The sequence below is a fragment of the Homo sapiens genome, chromosome 19 (assembly GCF_000001405.40).
Source record: "Homo sapiens chromosome 19, GRCh38.p14 Primary Assembly".
Classification (NCBI taxonomy): Eukaryota; Metazoa; Chordata; class Mammalia; order Primates; family Hominidae; genus Homo; species Homo sapiens.
Window position 1 is genome coordinate 2593847 of NC_000019.10, and position 16115 is coordinate 2609961.

The window sequence follows — 16115 nt, forward strand, 5'->3', positions numbered from 1 at the left end:
ATGTTATATATGTTTTGATTACTATTGTGATGTTTTAAGTTTTCTGAAGCAAGCTGAGAGGCAGGCCGAAATATTTGATGCCAAAAAAAAAAAAAAACTTTCTTACCTCATTCACCCCAAACCTTCTCAAATCTGGATTAAATACTATACTTTAAAACAAACATGAGGTGCTTCTGAAGGGGAGGAAAATTTATTTCTCTGCTTTTCTATTATACAAGTTGTTTACAGAAACTGCAAATCAAGGCCGGGCACAGTGGCTCACGCCTGTAATCCCAGCGCTTTGGGAGGCCAAGACGGGCGGATCACCTGAGCTCAGGAGTTCGAGACCAGCCTGGCCAACATGGAGAAACCCCATCTCTACTAAAAATACAAAACACTTAGCTGGGTGTGGTGGTGGGCACCTGTAGTCCCAGCTACTTGGGAGGCTGAGGCAGGAGAATCGCTTGAACCTGGGAGGTAGAGGTTGCAGTGAGCCGAGATATCACACCACTGCACTCCAGCCTAGGCGACAGAGTGAGACTCCCTCAAGAAAGAAAGAAAGAAGGAAAGAAAGAAGGAGGGAAGGAAGGAAGGAAGGAAGGAAGGAAGGAAGGAAGGAAGGAGGAAGAAAGAAACTGCAAATTTAAAAAATTACATATAGTGGAAAATTTCAAACACAGCCTGAAGCACGCAGGCCAGGACGAGGTCTCTCTGAGTGTCGTCACCTCCTGCAACGGGAATTAACATTCTGCCCTTCTTCTGTTCTCACTTCTCTCTCCAGCTTTGCACGGGTATTTCACACAAATTCAAGACATCATATGACTTTGCCTGTAGAACCTTCAGAATGTTCTCTAATCACTGAAGCTTTCTGATTTCCCAACACAGAACCACCCAATCAAATTAACACTGTCTTATTATCAACTTGCTCCATGATTATCAACAATAATTTCCTGTTACCAATAACCAGCCTGTGACCCATTGTCCATGATTATCTCAAAAATGTCTTTAATGGCCCGGCGTGGTGGCTCACGTCTGTAATCCCAGCCCTTTGGGAGGCTGAGGCGAGCTGATTGCTTCAGGACAGGAGTTTGAGACCAGCCTGGGCAACATACCAAGACCTCATCTCTACAAAAAATACAAAAAAATTAGCTGGGCATGGTGGCACGTACCTGTAGTCCCAGCTATTTGAAAGGATGAGGTGGGAGGATCGCTTGAGCCCAGGTGGTCAAGGTTGCAGTGAACCATGATGGCACCACTGCACTCCAGCCTGGGCAACAGAGCGAGACCCTGTCTCAAAAGAAATTAAATTTTTTTTTTTTTGAGACGGAGTCTCACTCTGTTGCCCAGGCTGGAGTGCAGTGGCGTGATCTTGGCTCACTGCAACCTCCACCTCCCGGGTTCAAGCGATTCTCCTGCCTCAGCCTCCCAAGTAGCTGGCATTACAGGCGCCCGCCACCACGTCCGGCTAATTTTTGTATTTTTAGTAGAGACGGGGTTTTGCCATGTTGGTCAGGCCGGTCTTGAACTCCTGACCTCAGTTGATTGATCCACACACCTCAGCCTCCCAAAGTGCTGGGATTATAGGTGTGAGCCACCATGCCCGGCTGAAAGGAAATTAAATTTAAGGGCCGAGTGCAGTGGCTCATGCCTGTAATCCCAGCACTTTGGGAGGCCGAGGCGGGTGGATTGCCTGAGCTCAGGAGTTTGAGACCAGCCTGGGCAACATAGCAAAACTCCGTCTCTAGTAAAAATACAAAAAATTAGCCGGGCGTGGTGGCGGGTGCCTGTAATCCCAGCTACTCGGGAGGCTGAGGCAGGAGAATGGCGTGAACCCGGGAGGCGGAGCTTGCAGCGAGCCAAGATCGCACCACTGCACTCCAGCCTGGGCAACAGAGTGAGACTCTGTCTCAAAAAAAAAAAAAAAGAAATTAAATTTAAAAAGGTAAAAAGCAGCTCAGGACCGCCAATGTACAATGCACTCCATATGGCTGTACGTATCTATGTGAGTGTGCATGTGTAGGAAAAGTCTAGGGAGTTTCAGTGGTTAGACGACAATGACCAGGACAACTGTGTGAGCAGCACCTGTGTGGCACTGAGTCATCTCAGGCTCTCCACTCGGCTCTGTCCATCAACGACCGAATCCAGCTCTCACGGCGACTCTACGCTGCATGCTTGTTACTCTACTACAGAGGAGGAAGCAACGCTTACGAAAACCAAGGACCAGAAGAACTCACAATCAAAACTAGTGGGCGGCCGGGCGCGGTGGCTCATATCTGTAATCTCAGCACTTTGAGAGGCCGAGGCGGGCGGATCACCTGAGGTCAGGAGTTTGGGACCAGCATGGCCAACATGGTGAAACCCCATCTCTACTGAAAATACAAAAATTAGCCGGGTGCGGTGGTGCATGCCTGTAATCCCAGCTACTTGGGAGGCTGAGACAGGAGAATCGCTTGAACCCAGGAGGTGGAGGTTGCAGTGAGCTGAGATCGTGCCTCTGCACTGCAGCCTGGGCGACAGAGTGAGAGTCGGTCCCTAAAATTAAAATAAAAAATAGTAGGCAGGCCCAGCGCGGGGCTCACACCTGCAATCCCAGCACTTTGAAAGGCTGAGGCAGGAAAATCACTTGAGCCCAGGAGTTTCAGACCAGCCTGGGTAACATAGTGAGACCCCGTCTCAATTAAAATTAAAAAAAAATTAAGCAGGTGTAGTGATATCCACCTGTGGTCCCAGCTACTCAGGAGGTTGAGGTGGGAGGATCGCTTGAGTCCAAGAGGTTGAGGCTGTAGTGAGCCATGATTATGCCACTGCACTCCAGCCTGGGTGACAAAGTGAGACCCTGTCCCCCCCCCAAAAAAAAAAGTGGGCAAATATCGACCCAGTTGTTCTCCTTTCACGTTCTGCACTGATGATCAGTTCCCATCCACCCCACACTGTTAACAGTGGTTAATTCTGGGGAGTGAGATTTGTGATGAAGATGTCTCCATTCTCACTCCTGCAGTACGAGACTTCTTTACAAATATATTCTCAACAGGGTGAACATCAATTCTTGGGGAGATGAAAACAAATTTTACTTTTTTTATGGATTAAGCCCAGAAAACAGAACATAAACAGATACACAGTCTATCTATGATATTGAAATTTCACAGGTATAGGCTGGGCTCGGTGGCTCACACCTGCAATCCCAGCACTTTTGGAGGCTGAGGTGGGAAGATCACTTGAGGCCAGGAGTTCAAGATCATCCTGGACAACATAGCAAGACCCAATCTCTAGAAAGAATAAAAATTTAAAAATTATCCAGGCATGGTGGTGTGCACCTGTTATCCCAGCTTTGGTGACTGAGGCGGGAGGATTGCTTGAGCCTGGGAGTTGGAAGCTGCTGCAGGGAGCTGAGATGGCGTTACTGCACTCCAGCTTGAGTGACAGAGAAAGAAGATCCTGTCTCTAAGATAAAAACAAACAAAAACTCCATTATATAATAATGCTACTTGGGGCCAGTCACAGTGGCTCACGCCTGTAATCCTAACACTGTGGGAGGCCGAGGCAGGCGGATCACCTAAGGTCAGGAGTTTGAGACCAGCCTGGCCAACATGGTGAAACCCCGTGTCTACTAAAAATACAAAAATTAGCTGGGCGTGGTGGCGGGCACCTGTAATCTTAGCTACTCAGGAGGCTGAGGCAGGAGAATCGCTTGAACCCAGGAGGTGGAGGTTGCAGTGAGCCGAGATCACGCCACTGCACTCCAGCCTGGGTGACAAGAGCAAAACTCCTTCTCAAAAATAATAATAATAAGGCCGAGTGTGGTGGCTCACACCTGTAATCCCAGCACTTTGGGAGGCCGAGGTGGGTGGATCACGAGGTCAGCAGATCGAGACCATCCTGGCTAACACGGTGAAACCCCGTCTCTACTAAAAATACAAAAAATTAGCCAGGCGTGGTGGCGGGCGCCTGTAGTGCCAGCTACTCGGGAGGCTGAGGCAGGAGAATGGCGTGAACCCAGGAGGCAGAGCTTGCAGTGAGCCGAGATTGCGCCACTGCACTCCAGCCTGGGCAACAGAGTGAGACTCTGTTTCAAAAAAAAAAAAAAAAAAGAAATTAAATTTAGAAAGGTAAAAAGCAGCTCAGGACTGCCAATGTACAATGCGCTCCATATTGCTGTACGTATCTATGTGAGTGTGCATGTGTAGGAAAAGTCTAGGGAGTTTCAGTGGTTAGACGACAATGACCAGGACAACTGTGTGAGCAGCACCTGTGTGGCACTGAGTCATCTCAGGCTCTCCACTCGGCTCTGTCCATCAACGACCGAATCCAGCTCTCACGGCGACTCTACGCTGCATGCTTGTTACTCTACTACAGAGGAGGAAGCAACGCTTACGAAAACCAAGGACCAAAAGAACTCACAATCAAAACTAGTGGGCGGCCGGGCGCGGTGGCTCATATCTGTTAATCCCAGCACTTTGGGAGGCCAAGGTGGGCGGATCACCTGAGGTCAGGAGTTCGAGACCAGCCTGGCCAACATGGTGAAACCACATCTCTACTGAAAATACAGAATTGGCCGGGCGTGGTGGCTCACGCCTGTACTCCCAGCACTTTGGGAGGCCGAGGCGGGCGGATCACGAGGTCAGGAGATCGAGACCATCCTGGCTAACACGGTGAAACCCCATCTCTACTAAAAATACAAAAAATTAGCTGGGTGTGGTGGCGGGCGCCTGTAGTCCCAGCTACTCGGGAGGCTGAGGCAGGAGAATGGTGTGAACCCAGGAGGCAGAGCTTGCAGTGAGCTGAGATCGCGCCACTGCACTCCAGCCTGAGCGACAGAGCGAGACTCCGTCTCAAAAAAAATGAAAAGTAATAAAATAATAATAATAATAATAATAATAATAATAATAATAATAATAATAATGCTACTTGGGCATCTTCCGTCAAAAGAATCAGACATCGGGTGCATTTAAATCTCTTGCCACCGTTATTCTTTCTAAGGAGCCACTAGGAAAAGGATGTCTCAAAAGAAGGTGATCACGGAAAAAGAAAGCTTATGAAACACTGACTTCTGTAATCACGTTTTCAGTTGAAAGAAATGGAAACTGATCTAACTTCCAGCTCACCTCAAGCTGGAAAGAAGTCTAGTTTCTAGAAGCATCTCCAAAATTGGAAAGTGAAGTTTCTAGCATACAGTTCCACCGAGGGCCCATGATGAAGAGGGGGAGAGGCGGGCACGAGGCGAAGCGGGTGCCCCGCGCTCGGCTGGAAAAAGCCAATGTCACCGGGCTGTGCTATTTGCTTGTGGGAGGGACGCCTGGGGTGGGGGCGTGCCGCTGGTTGCTCCGCCGCAGACACCACGTGGTGCTTTTTGAACTGATCAGAGCCCCAGCCTGCCTGCTTTGCTGTCCCGGGCTGACCTCCGAAAACACCGCACTTTCCCCTCGCTGACTTGGTAGATGTCTGTCTGTCTGCTTGAGTATCTCGAAGATCTGAGGTTTCCATTCCAGCAGAATAAATACTAGGAGGGCCCACCCCTTCCTCCTCCCAGCCGAGGCTGGATGAATCCAAATAAACCCAGCTGGTGGGGAAGAGCATTTCTAGGACTTCGGCGGGAGAAAGCACCGCCCACCCGGGTGGGTTTCCAGGAGGTGGAGGTGCGGACCTGGGAGGGGGGCCCTCGGGCAGCCCTGCCATGCAGCCGCGTCACTCCGCCTGCCTGATGTCACAGGAGCTGGGGGAGTTTGGGTATTTCATGAAGCTGTTGAGTTATTGTGGCTTTGGTTTGTGACACCGGCGTTCAGGCACGGCCTAAAGGCAACATCAAAGACGGTGCATGAAAACCGGGGGTTAGGCCGGGCGCGGTGGCTCACGCCTGTAATCCCAGCACTTTGGGAGACCGAGGCAGGCGGATCACCTGCGGTCAGGAGTTCGAGACCAGCCTGGGCAATACGGCGAAACCCCGTCTCTACTAAAAATACAAAAATTAGCCGGGGGTGGTGGTGCTGGCCTGTGATCCCAGCTACTCAGGAGGCTGAGGCAGGAGAATCGCTTGAGCCCTGGAGGTGGAGGTTGCAGAGAGCTGAGATGGCGCCACCGCACTCCAGCCTGGGCAACAGAGCAAGACTCCATCTCAAAAAAAAAAAAAAATTAGATTGTGGTAATGGTTACACAACTCTGGATATTCTAAAAACCACTGAATTGTACACTTTAAAAAGTGAATTCTATGGCATGTAAAAATCTCAATAAAGCTGTCATATAAAATAAATATATATAAATATGATGCCAAAATATATACATAAATATGGTAATAAAAAATTAAGGCCCTTAAACAGCTTGTGTTTATGTAGATTTTAGCTATACTCCTGTTACAAGTTAACATAATCCCATTAAATATTTTTTTAAACCATATATTTTATATTAGGAGGATGACACGTTTAAGTGAAAAGTAACTATTTTTCAAAAAAAAAAAACATTGAGGGGAAATAGTGGCATTGTTTTACATTTTTGCAAATTTCTTTCATGTCTGGCTTAATAGAAGACAGCTGGATTCTTGTATAAGCCTCTGAGTTCAATCCACTGTGATATCAAACGTCATGCAACCTCTGAAAACTCCACCATCTGTGTGGGAGAGACTGGGAGGAAGGAGACCCAGAGTATCTTGGCATTTTTTTTTTTTTTTTTTTGTGAGATGGAGTCTCGCTCTGTCACCCAGGCTGGAGTGCAGTGGCGCAATCTCAGCTCACTTCAACCTCCGCCTCCTGGGTTCAAGTGATTCTCCTGCCTCAGCCTCCCAAGTAGCTGGGATTACAGGCGCCACCACCACACCTGGCTAATTTTTTTTTTTAATTTTTAGTAGAGACAGGGTTTCACCATGTTGGCCAGGCTGGTCTCGAACTCCTGAGCTCAGGTGATCCACCCACCTTGACCTCTCAAAGCGCTGGGATTACAGGTGTGAGCCACAGTGCCTGGCTTCTATCTTAGCAGTTTTGACCTAGTGGTCCCCCACCAAAAGGGTCTCAGAGACCAACCCCTGGGTGTCCCTGGACCACACTTTGAGAACTCCAATACACAGGTATTCTCTCTACTTCACAGAAGAGAAAATGCGATCCAAGATGGTAATAAACCTGCTCAAGTCCTCAAAGCTGAAAAGTACGGCTGAAGGAGAATAAAAAAGAGAAACATAAAGCAGTTGTGGTGGTGTGTGCCTGTGCTCCCAGCTACTTGGGAGGCTGAAGTGGTAGGATCGCTTGAGCCCGGGAGTTTGAGGCTGCAGTGAGCTAGGATCACGCCACTACACTCCAGCCTGGGTGACAAGGAGAGACCTCCCCCCCGCCACCATCTCCAAAAACAAATTATTACTTATGTAAAAAATAGAACTAAGGAAGGTTTGCTTGACTCCAAAGCTGTGTTCTTTGCATCCATTCTAGTTCCATCCAGATGGCCCGGGGTACAGCTGGGATGCCTGTTGTCCCTAAAAACCATGGGGCACAAGTAGGTAAACCCTAGAGTAGGTAACTCCTCAATTCAGCTCAACCACTATCTGACCAGCCTCCAGTTACCAGGCAGTGTGTTTCCCCAGCCATGTGGACTCAGTCCTGCCACGGCGCGGCTCGTGCCTATTGCAGATACATGTACATGCTTGCAATATACGTGTCTGTCTCCCCTGCTCTACAATGAGCTCCCCAGGAACAAGGACTGGGCAATTTTTTTTGGCTTCCTGTCTCCACTGTTTGGCAGCAGGAAAAGAGAGGTGCCTGAAGAAAGGGTAACAGAGCAATGCAATCCCCCGATGTCAGATTTTTATTGAGGAAAAGAAAGGCAGTGAAGGCCGGGCATGGTGGCTCACGTCTGTAATCCCAAGCACGTTGGGAGGCCGGGGCAGGAGGATCCCTTGAGCCCAGGAGTTCGAGACCAGCCTGAGCAACATGGCGAGACCCTGTCTTTATAAAAAAATTAGCCGGGCATGGTGGTGTGAGCCTGTAGTCCCAGCTACTAGGGAGGTTGAAGCGGGAGGCTCACTTAAGGAGGCTGAGGTTGCAGTGAGTTATGATTTCATCACTGCACTTCAGCCTGGGCCACAGAGTAAGACCCTGTCTCAGAAAGAAGAAAAGAGAAGACAGGGGAGGGGAGGGGAGGAGAGGAGAGGGGAGGAGAGCAGTGGAATCCCAGATGATCCTTCCAGAATCTGCAAGCAGCACTGTGGAGGCACCCTGGGGAAGAAAGTCTGCTAGGATCTGGAGAAGCACTAGAAGCCGGGCACAGTGGCTCACGCCTGTAATCCCAGCACTCTGGGAGGCCGAGATGGGCAGGTCACCTGAGGTCAGGAGTTCGAGACCAGCCTGGCCAACATGGTGAAACCCCGTCTCTACTAAAAATGCAAAAATTAGCCGGGCGTGGTGGTGCACGCCTGTAATCTCAGCTACTTGGGAGGCTGAGACAGGAGGATTGCTTGAACCCGGGAGGCAGAGGTTGCAGTGAGCTGAGATCGCGCCACTGCACTCCAGCCTGGGCGACAGAGCGAGACTCCGTCTCAAAACAACAACAGAAAAAGCAGCACTGAGGACTGGGCTGCGGGCTGCGTCCTCTGCAGGCCCTGGCTCCCCTGTACCCACCCCCTCCTGCACGCTTTTAAGCAGATCCAGCACTCCCTTCAGGGCGCTGGGGAGGAGCTGCCAGCAGACAGGAATGCGCTGTGCAGAAGCAGCAGGTTCTGCCAGCTCCTCCCGAGCCTGCAGGGAAATGCAGGCAGATCTGTGGCCTCGCACAGGCGGACAGACGGGCAGCAGGGATCTCCAACCGGGCCCCGGAGCACGAACCACTACGCAATCGTCACAGCATGTGCTACCTTCCGTGGTGTTCTGGGAATCTAAATCAATCCCATACGCTGGACAGCAAGCCAGAAACGGAAGCCAATCTCGGGCTGGGCAGAGGGCCACCCGGCCCTCCCCTCACCACCACCCCTCCCTTTTCCTTCAATCAGAATTGCCTTTTATAGGCAGGTTGATAGTTCACAGCTGGAAGGGGGCTCACTGCGGCTCTGCAAGGAAAGATGCGCTACCCACCCTTTTCTCTCTTTCTCTTTCTTTTTCTCTTTTTCTTTCTTTCTTTCTTTCTTTCTTTTTGTTTCTTCCTTTCTTCCTTTCTTTCTTTTCTTTCTCTTTCTTTCTTTCTCTCTCTCTTTCCTTCCTTCCTTTCTTTTCTTTCTCCCTTTCCTTTCCCCTTCCTTCCTTCCCTTTCTTTCTTTCTTTTTCTCTTTTCTGTTCTGTTCTGTTCTTTTTTTTGATGGAGTTTCGCTCTTGTTGCCCAGGCTGGAGCACAATAGCACAGTCTTGCCTCACTGAAACCTCCGCCTCCCGGGTTCAAGCGATCCTCCTGCCTCAGCCTCCCGAGTAGCTGGGATTACAGGTGCGCACCACCATGCCTGGCTAATTTTTGTATTTTTAGTAGAGACGGGGTTTCACCGTGTTAGCCAGGGTGATCTCGATCTCCTGACCTCGTGATCCACCCGCCTCGGCCTCCCAAAGTGCTAGGATTACAGGCGTGAGCCGCCGTGCCCGGCCTAAAGCTGTGTTCTTTCTGTTCCACAGGCTGCAGAGAGGGAGCTGATGCCAGAATGAGGGGGAACCCCCGGAGCTTCTCGCATCGGGTGGGACCGGCATCCGGTGAGACCGCGGTGGCTCTCTGGGGCTGAAAATTCCAAGCAGAGTAGCCCGAGGAATCCAGCCATCCCCGAGGGTTCAGAAATGCAAATCAGGGCTGTGTATTCACAGCCTGGACTGGAGATCGACCAAAAACTATGCAGGGCTCACCCTTGCGGGGCGGCGGCTAAATTTAGGAAACCAACCATCTGGAGAATGCAGGCATCAGAAGCCCCTGCAGCTAGGAGGATCATTTCAGTTCATTTTTATTCACTGTTCATAGATCTCCCAGTTTTTCCTAGCGTGTTCAAGCTGGAAAGGATTTCAGAGATTGTGTCACCTAGATTTATTTTACAGAAGGAGGAACTAAGCGTTTAAGGGAGAAGTGCCTGTTCTTTTATTATTATTATTATTATTTTATTTTTTGAGACAGAGTCTCGCTCTGTCACCCAGGCTGGAGTGCAGTGGTGCAATCTCGGCTCACTGCAAGCTCTGCCTCCTGGGTTCACGCCATTCTCCTGCCTCAGCCTCCTGAGTAGCTGGGACTACAGGCGCCCGCCACCACGCCCCGCTAATTTTTTGTATTTTTAGTAGAGACGGGGTTTCACTGTGTTAGCCAGGATGGTATCGATCTCTTGACCTCGTGATCCACCCGCCTCGGCCCCCCAAAGTGCTAGGATTACAGGCGTGAGCCACCGTGCCGGGTCTCGAGAAGTGCCTGTTTTAACACACTGAAAAGTGGTCTTAGCCAGGTGCAGCATAATATGCCCGTCTCCCAGCACTTTGGGAGGCCGAGGCAGGAGGATCGCTTGAGGCCAGGAGTTTGAGACCAGCCTGGGCAACATAGCAAGACCCCATCACTACAAAAAATAAAAATAAATTAGCCGGATGTGGTGGCGTGTGCTTGTGGTCCCAGCTACTCTGGAGGCTGAAGCAGGAGGATGGCTTGAACCAGGAAGTCGAGGCTGCAGTGAGCTAGGACTGCGCCACTGCACTCCAGCCTGGGCAACGGAGCAAGACCCTGCTTCAAAAAAAAAAAAAAATGAATGAAAGGAAGGAAGGAAGGAAGCGAGGGAGGGAGGGAGGGAGGGAGCGAGGGAGGGAAGGAAGGAAGGAAGCGAGGGACAGAGGGAGGAAAAAGAGAAAGTTTTCTGCCCTAGACACTCCAGCCTGGGCAACGGAGCAAGACCCTCCTTCAAAAAAAAAAAAAAAAAGAATGAATGGAAGGAAGGAAGGAAGGGAGGGAGTGGGGAGGGAGGGAGGGAAAAGAGAAAGTTTTCTGCCCTATTATGTGATTTTCACACCACCCCAAGTTCAAGAACAAAGTGTGGTTTGTTTGAATGCTTTTCCCAGACAGAGATGCAGGGCAGTGGCGAGAAGGAAACAATCCAGTGGCGGCTTCCCCTCTCTTAGAAGTATTAGGCCCAAGAAACCACCTGAAATCCTGGGATGAACTAGATTCTGTCGTTGGAGTCCAAGTCCTTTTGGCTGTCAGTATGAGTGGCTTGAAGCCGCTATAACAAGTCACACGGATCTGGTGGCTTAAAACAATGGAAATGGATTCTCTATGGCTCTGGAGGTCAGAAATCTAGATGTGGGCAAGGCCGTGCTCCCTCTGGAGGCTCCAGGGGAGGATCCTTCCTGCCTCCTCCAGCTTCTGGGGCCTCCAGGCATCCTCTGGCTTGAGCCCACATGGCTCCAGTCTCTGCCTCCATCTCCCCATGCCTTTCCTCATGTGTCAAATCTCACTGTTGTTTTTTTTGTTTGTTTTTTGAGACAAGGTCTCTCTCTGTTGCCCAGGTTGGAGTGCACCAGACACCATCTCGGCTCACTGCAACCTCCGCCTCCTGGGTTCAAGTGATTCTCCTGCCTCAGCCTCCTGAGTAGCTGGGACTACAGGCACCTGCCACCATGCCCAGCTAATTTTTGTATTATTAGTAGAGACGGGGTTTCACCATGTTGGCCAAACAGGTCTCAAACTTGTGGCCTCAAGTGATCCTCCTGCCTCAGCCTCCCAAAGTGCTGGGATTACAGGTGTGAGCCACCACACCTGGCCAAATCTCACTTTTTTTTTTTTTTTTTTTTTTTTGAGGCAGAGTCTTGCTTTGTTGCCCAGGCTGGAGTGCAGTGGCTTGATCTTGGCTTACTGCAACCTCTGCCTCCTCAGCTGAAGTGATTCTCCTGCCTCAGCCTCCCGAGTAGCTGGGATTACAGGCATGCGCCACCACACCCAGCTAATTTTTGTATTTTTAGTAGAGACGGGGTTTCACCATGTTGGCCAGCATGGTCTCGATCTCCTGACCTCGTGATCTGCCCGCCTTGGCCTCCCAAAGTGCTGGGATGACAGGTGTGAGCCACCGCAGCCTGCCAAAATCTCACTCTTATAAGGACATTTGTAATTGTTTAGGGTCCACCTGGAGAACCCAGGATAATCTGCCGTCTGAAGATCCTTCATGTGATCACTTCTGCGACCTCTTTGTCCTATAAGGGAAAATTCACAGGTTCCAGACATTTAGGAGCCAATATCTTTGGGGGCATTACTCACACGACATACAAAGTCTCTTTTCAGGGCAAACATAGATGCTCACAGGAAATGCCTCCATGCCCCGCAGTCGGGCAAGCTTCCAAGCAAGCAAGCCGCTTTTAAGAGTCAGGAAGAGGCTGGGTGGCTCACGCCCGTAATCCCAGCACTGTGGGAGGCCGAGGTGGGTGGATTGCTTGAGCCCAGGAGTTTGAGACCAGCCTGGGCAACATAGTGAGATCCCATCTCTACAAAAAATACAAAAATTAGCTGGGCGTGGTGGTGTGCACCTGTAGTCCTTGGGGGGCTGAGGTGGGAGGATCACTTGAGCCCAGGAGTTGGAGGCTACAGTGAGCCGAGATTGCACCACTGCACTCCAACCTGCGTGACAAAGTTAGACTCTGTTTCTGGCCAGGTGCAGTGGCTCATGCCTGTAATCCCAGCACTTTGGGAAACTGAGGTGGGCAGATCACCTGAGGTCAGGAGTTCGAGACCAGCCTGACCAACATGGAGAAACCCCATCTCTACTAAAAATACAAAAATTAGCTGGGTGTGGTGGTGCACGCCTGTAATCCCAGCTATTCAGGAGGCTGAGGCAGCAGAATCGCTTGAACCCGGGAGGTGGAGGTTGCGGTGAGCCAAGATTGTGCCACTGCACTCCAGCCTGGGCAACAAGAGTGAAACTCTGTCTCAAAAAAAAATAATTAATTAATTAATTAATTAATTAATTTAAAAAAAAAGTTAGACCCTGTCTCAAAAATAAAAAGTCAGGATGAGAGAAGGCAGCCAAGGCAAGGAAGACCAATAACATGCTCGGATGGTGCAGTCTCTTTGGAACATTCCAAAACTAAACTGAGAAGGTTCCCATTCTCGGTGATGACAAGTTTCTGGAACTAGATAGATAGTGCTGGTGTTTGCACGCAGTGTTCATGGAAATAATGCCATGGAGTTGCAAACTTTTGAACAGTAAACAAGGGCCGGGCACCGTGGCTCATGCCTGTAATCCCAGCACCTCAGGAGGCCGAGGCGGGGGGATCATTTGAGCCCAGGATTTTGAGACCAGCCTGGGCAACACAGCGAGACCCTGTCTCCACGAAAAATTTAAAAATTAGCTGGGCATGGTGGTGTGTGTCTGTAGTCCCAGCTACTCAAGAGGCTGAGGTGGGAGGATCACTTGAGCCCAGGAGGTTGAGGCTGCAGTGAGCTGTGATCGCACCACTGCACTCCAGCCTGGGCGACAGAGCAAGACCCTGTGTCAAAAAAAAAAAAGAAGGCCAGGTGTGGTGGCTCACACCTGTAATCCCAGCACTTTGGGAGGTCGAGGCAGGCAGATCATCTGAGGTCGGGAGTTCAAGACCAGCCTGGCCAACATGGAGAAACCCTAACATTTTTAGTTTCTACTAAAAATTCAAAAAATTAGCCGAGCATGATGGCAGGCGCCTGTTATCCCAGCTACTTGGGAGGCTGAGGCAGGAGAATTGCTTGAACCTGGGAGGCAGAGGTTGCAGTGAGCCGAGATCGCACCATTGCACTCCAGCCTGGGCGACAAGAGTGAAACTCCATCTCAAAAAGAAAAAAAAAAAGAAAGACTAAAATGGTAAAAAAAAAAAAAAAAAGAAAGAAAGAAAAGAAAAAAGAAAAAGAAATACATATTAGGATGGGGCAAGCTAAACTACATTGTTATGTATTTTAACAACACATAAAACCCACTTGGGGCCAGTCTGCAAGTACCTCCCATGTAGGCTCAGCCTGGCACTTGAACCCCGTGCCCTCCGCCCCCCGCCCCTCCCAGTGGCGTCTCCGCTTCTCACTTCAGAGGCAGAGCTGTCATCGTGGGCACTGGGAAGTAGCCTGCAGTGTCAGCACAGACCGGCGCTCACCAACGACACGGCACGGAGGCTTTCTAGGGAGCAGTCCCCCCAGGACAGCAATACGTTCAGGCGACAGCGACACAGGGCAGCAACAGCGGTTCCCTCCTGGCAGGCAGCCAGACGCACACACGCACGCAGACCACACCATCCAGAAAGTTCACCTGCGACCTGAGACGCAGCTCTTTGAGGGAGATCAGAAGATCAGATGGTATTTGAGAAAAAAAAAAAAAAAAAGGTTAAGCCAAGTCAGTGGGAAGGTGGAGGAAAAAAAAAATAAATAAAGGTTAGGCTGAGGTCGCCGCCCTGCCACTCATGACACAGAGCGTGGCACGTCGGTTTCACACCTAAAAGTCAGAACGATTCACAGGTGGCGAAGCGTGGGTGGAGGAAAAGAGCGGGGATGTCTGAGGAGCAGAAAGACCGAAACGCAAGAGTAATACCTGCTGCGGAGAGGTTCCGCCCACGTGGGATTTGCCCCTGGGAAAAAAAAAAAAAGTCCCCGAAGCCCCTGCAAGGCAAGGCCTGCGGGCTGGAGGGACGGGCTCTTCACACACACGGGAGGACAGAGATCGTCTCTGGAGGTGGGCGCCCCAGCAGGCACACTGACGGCCTCGGTGCAGCTCCCCTGCACCCCCAAATGACGCAGGTCAGTAATCCAGGGACGGGCAGCAGGCTCACGTGTCCCCAGATGCAGGCACACCTGTGCCTCTCGAGTCATCTGCAGAGTCACGAGACCAGCAACCTGGAAACCTGGAGGAGCTCCCCTGGCTGCCACCGGACACCCCAGGGCAAGGGGCCGGGTGCCTCCCGGGCAACCCCCTCTCTCTGCAGCAGGGGATGCAGATGGCAGAGTCTCAAAGGCCTTCCCTGCATGGGGCAGACACGGAGGACACACTCTCCCGGGGTCTGCACTGAGGCTGTCAGGGGGCCTGCTGCGTTCCCCACTCCAGGTAACCCTGTCTGCTGGCACTGAGGGCCTCATCAGACCCCTGCAGGCCTGCAACCACAGCCAAAATCAGTGTGCCTTCTCCAAAGCCACCTTCTGACCCGCTTTTTAAAGAAACTGAGGTAAGGTTTGCATAATGTAAAATTAAGCATTTTAAAGTGAACAATTCAGTGGCATTCAACACATTCACAACGTTGTACAAACATCATGCCTACCTAGTTCTTGTACATTCTCTCTCTCTCTCTCTCTCTCTTTTTTTGTTTTGAGACAGGGTCTCACTCCATCTTCCAGGCTGGAGTGCAGTGGTGCGATCTTGGCTCACCGCAACCTCTGCCTCTCAGGTTCAAGCAATCCTCCTGCCTTAGCCTCCCGAGTAGCTGGGATTACAGGCATGCACCACCACACCTGGCTAATTTTTAATTTTTCGTAGAGATGGGGGTCTCACTATGTTGCCAAGGCTGGTCTTGAACTCCTAGCCTCATGATCCTCCCACCTCAGTGTCCTGTGGAGCTGGGACTACAGGCACGTACCACCCCACCCAGCTAATTTTTGTTTTACACTAAAGTGTTATTTCATCTTGGTCGCTGAGGTTTTTTAGCGCCCCCTTCAATTTTGTGCCCAGTGTGAATACATTGCTTGCCTGACCCTGGTCCTGCCCTGGGATTTGGGAGCCGACAGGTCCGGGTAACAACTGCAGTTTAGCCGCTCACTTGCTGGAGGACCTCAGGCTCTCTTCCGTGAGCCTTATTTTGGCCATTGCTGGAATCCCGTTGTGCAGGACAGCTGGGTGGATTGCAGTGATGTTTGCGCACCACGTCCCGAGTGCCAGAGCAGACAGGGTCCCACCTGTTACCGTCTTGGACTTCCAGCCTCCAGAACCAAGAGAGAGAAGAAATCTCTGTTGCTAAAGCCCTCCTCCAGTCTGTGGCTTGAGGTTACAGAGCCCCAGCAAACCATCACGCTGGGTTAAAGGAACTGGTCCCCAGAGCTCACAGCTGCAGACTGGCCACCGTAGGACAATCCAGTGGGACCTGGGGGTGCCTCTGGGCCATTGGGGGACCCTCGGTGAGCCAGTGAACTCAGTGCACTTCTGGAGCTCCCTGACCACGAGTGAGGAAATTGAACGGTACAGGAAAAGCAGGAGAGCGTGCACCTTAAACGGCCAAGGTCCGTCACTACCA

The 16115-nt window shown here is 50.9% G+C and overlaps 1 protein-coding gene and 1 pseudogene across 2 annotated transcripts in view, besides 7 other annotated features; both read right to left on the reverse strand.

The window, feature by feature from the left end:
* GNG7 (G protein subunit gamma 7) overlaps window positions 1–16115 on the reverse strand; it is a 191476-nt gene that overhangs the window by 82628 nt on the left and 92733 nt on the right. The gene's annotated exons all lie outside the window — the stretch shown is intronic.
* On the reverse strand, window positions 1173–1445 carry RN7SL121P (RNA, 7SL, cytoplasmic 121, pseudogene; annotated as a pseudogene).
* Window positions 9445–10211: an enhancer, noted in NCBI's record as "H3K27ac-H3K4me1 hESC enhancer chr19:2603289-2604055 (GRCh37/hg19 assembly coordinates)". NCBI's record gives its function as "activates a minimal SCP1, AML or CMV promoter by ChIP-STARR-seq in naive H9 embryonic stem cells {active_cell/tissue: H9 hESC(naive)}" and the evidence as "EXISTENCE:reporter gene assay evidence [ECO:0000049][PMID:30033119]".
* Window positions 13471–14325: an enhancer, noted in NCBI's record as "H3K4me1 hESC enhancer chr19:2607315-2608169 (GRCh37/hg19 assembly coordinates)". NCBI's record gives its function as "activates a minimal SCP1, AML or CMV promoter by ChIP-STARR-seq in naive H9 embryonic stem cells {active_cell/tissue: H9 hESC(naive)}" and the evidence as "EXISTENCE:reporter gene assay evidence [ECO:0000049][PMID:30033119]".
* Window positions 13471–15179: a biological region, named in NCBI's record as "H3K4me1 hESC enhancers GRCh37_chr19:2607315-2608169 and GRCh37_chr19:2608170-2609023".
* Window positions 14196–14765: an enhancer, noted in NCBI's record as "active region_13705". NCBI's record gives its function as "activates an Ori minimal core promoter by ATAC-STARR-seq in GM12878 lymphoblastoid cells {active_cell/tissue: GM12878}" and the evidence as "EXISTENCE:reporter gene assay evidence [ECO:0000049][PMID:35858748]".
* Window positions 14326–15179: an enhancer, noted in NCBI's record as "H3K4me1 hESC enhancer chr19:2608170-2609023 (GRCh37/hg19 assembly coordinates)". NCBI's record gives its function as "activates a minimal SCP1, AML or CMV promoter by ChIP-STARR-seq in primed H9 embryonic stem cells {active_cell/tissue: H9 hESC(primed)}" and the evidence as "EXISTENCE:reporter gene assay evidence [ECO:0000049][PMID:30033119]".
* Window positions 15006–15145: an enhancer, noted in NCBI's record as "active region_13706". NCBI's record gives its function as "activates an Ori minimal core promoter by ATAC-STARR-seq in GM12878 lymphoblastoid cells {active_cell/tissue: GM12878}" and the evidence as "EXISTENCE:reporter gene assay evidence [ECO:0000049][PMID:35858748]".
* Window positions 15656–15795: an enhancer, noted in NCBI's record as "active region_13707". NCBI's record gives its function as "activates an Ori minimal core promoter by ATAC-STARR-seq in GM12878 lymphoblastoid cells {active_cell/tissue: GM12878}" and the evidence as "EXISTENCE:reporter gene assay evidence [ECO:0000049][PMID:35858748]".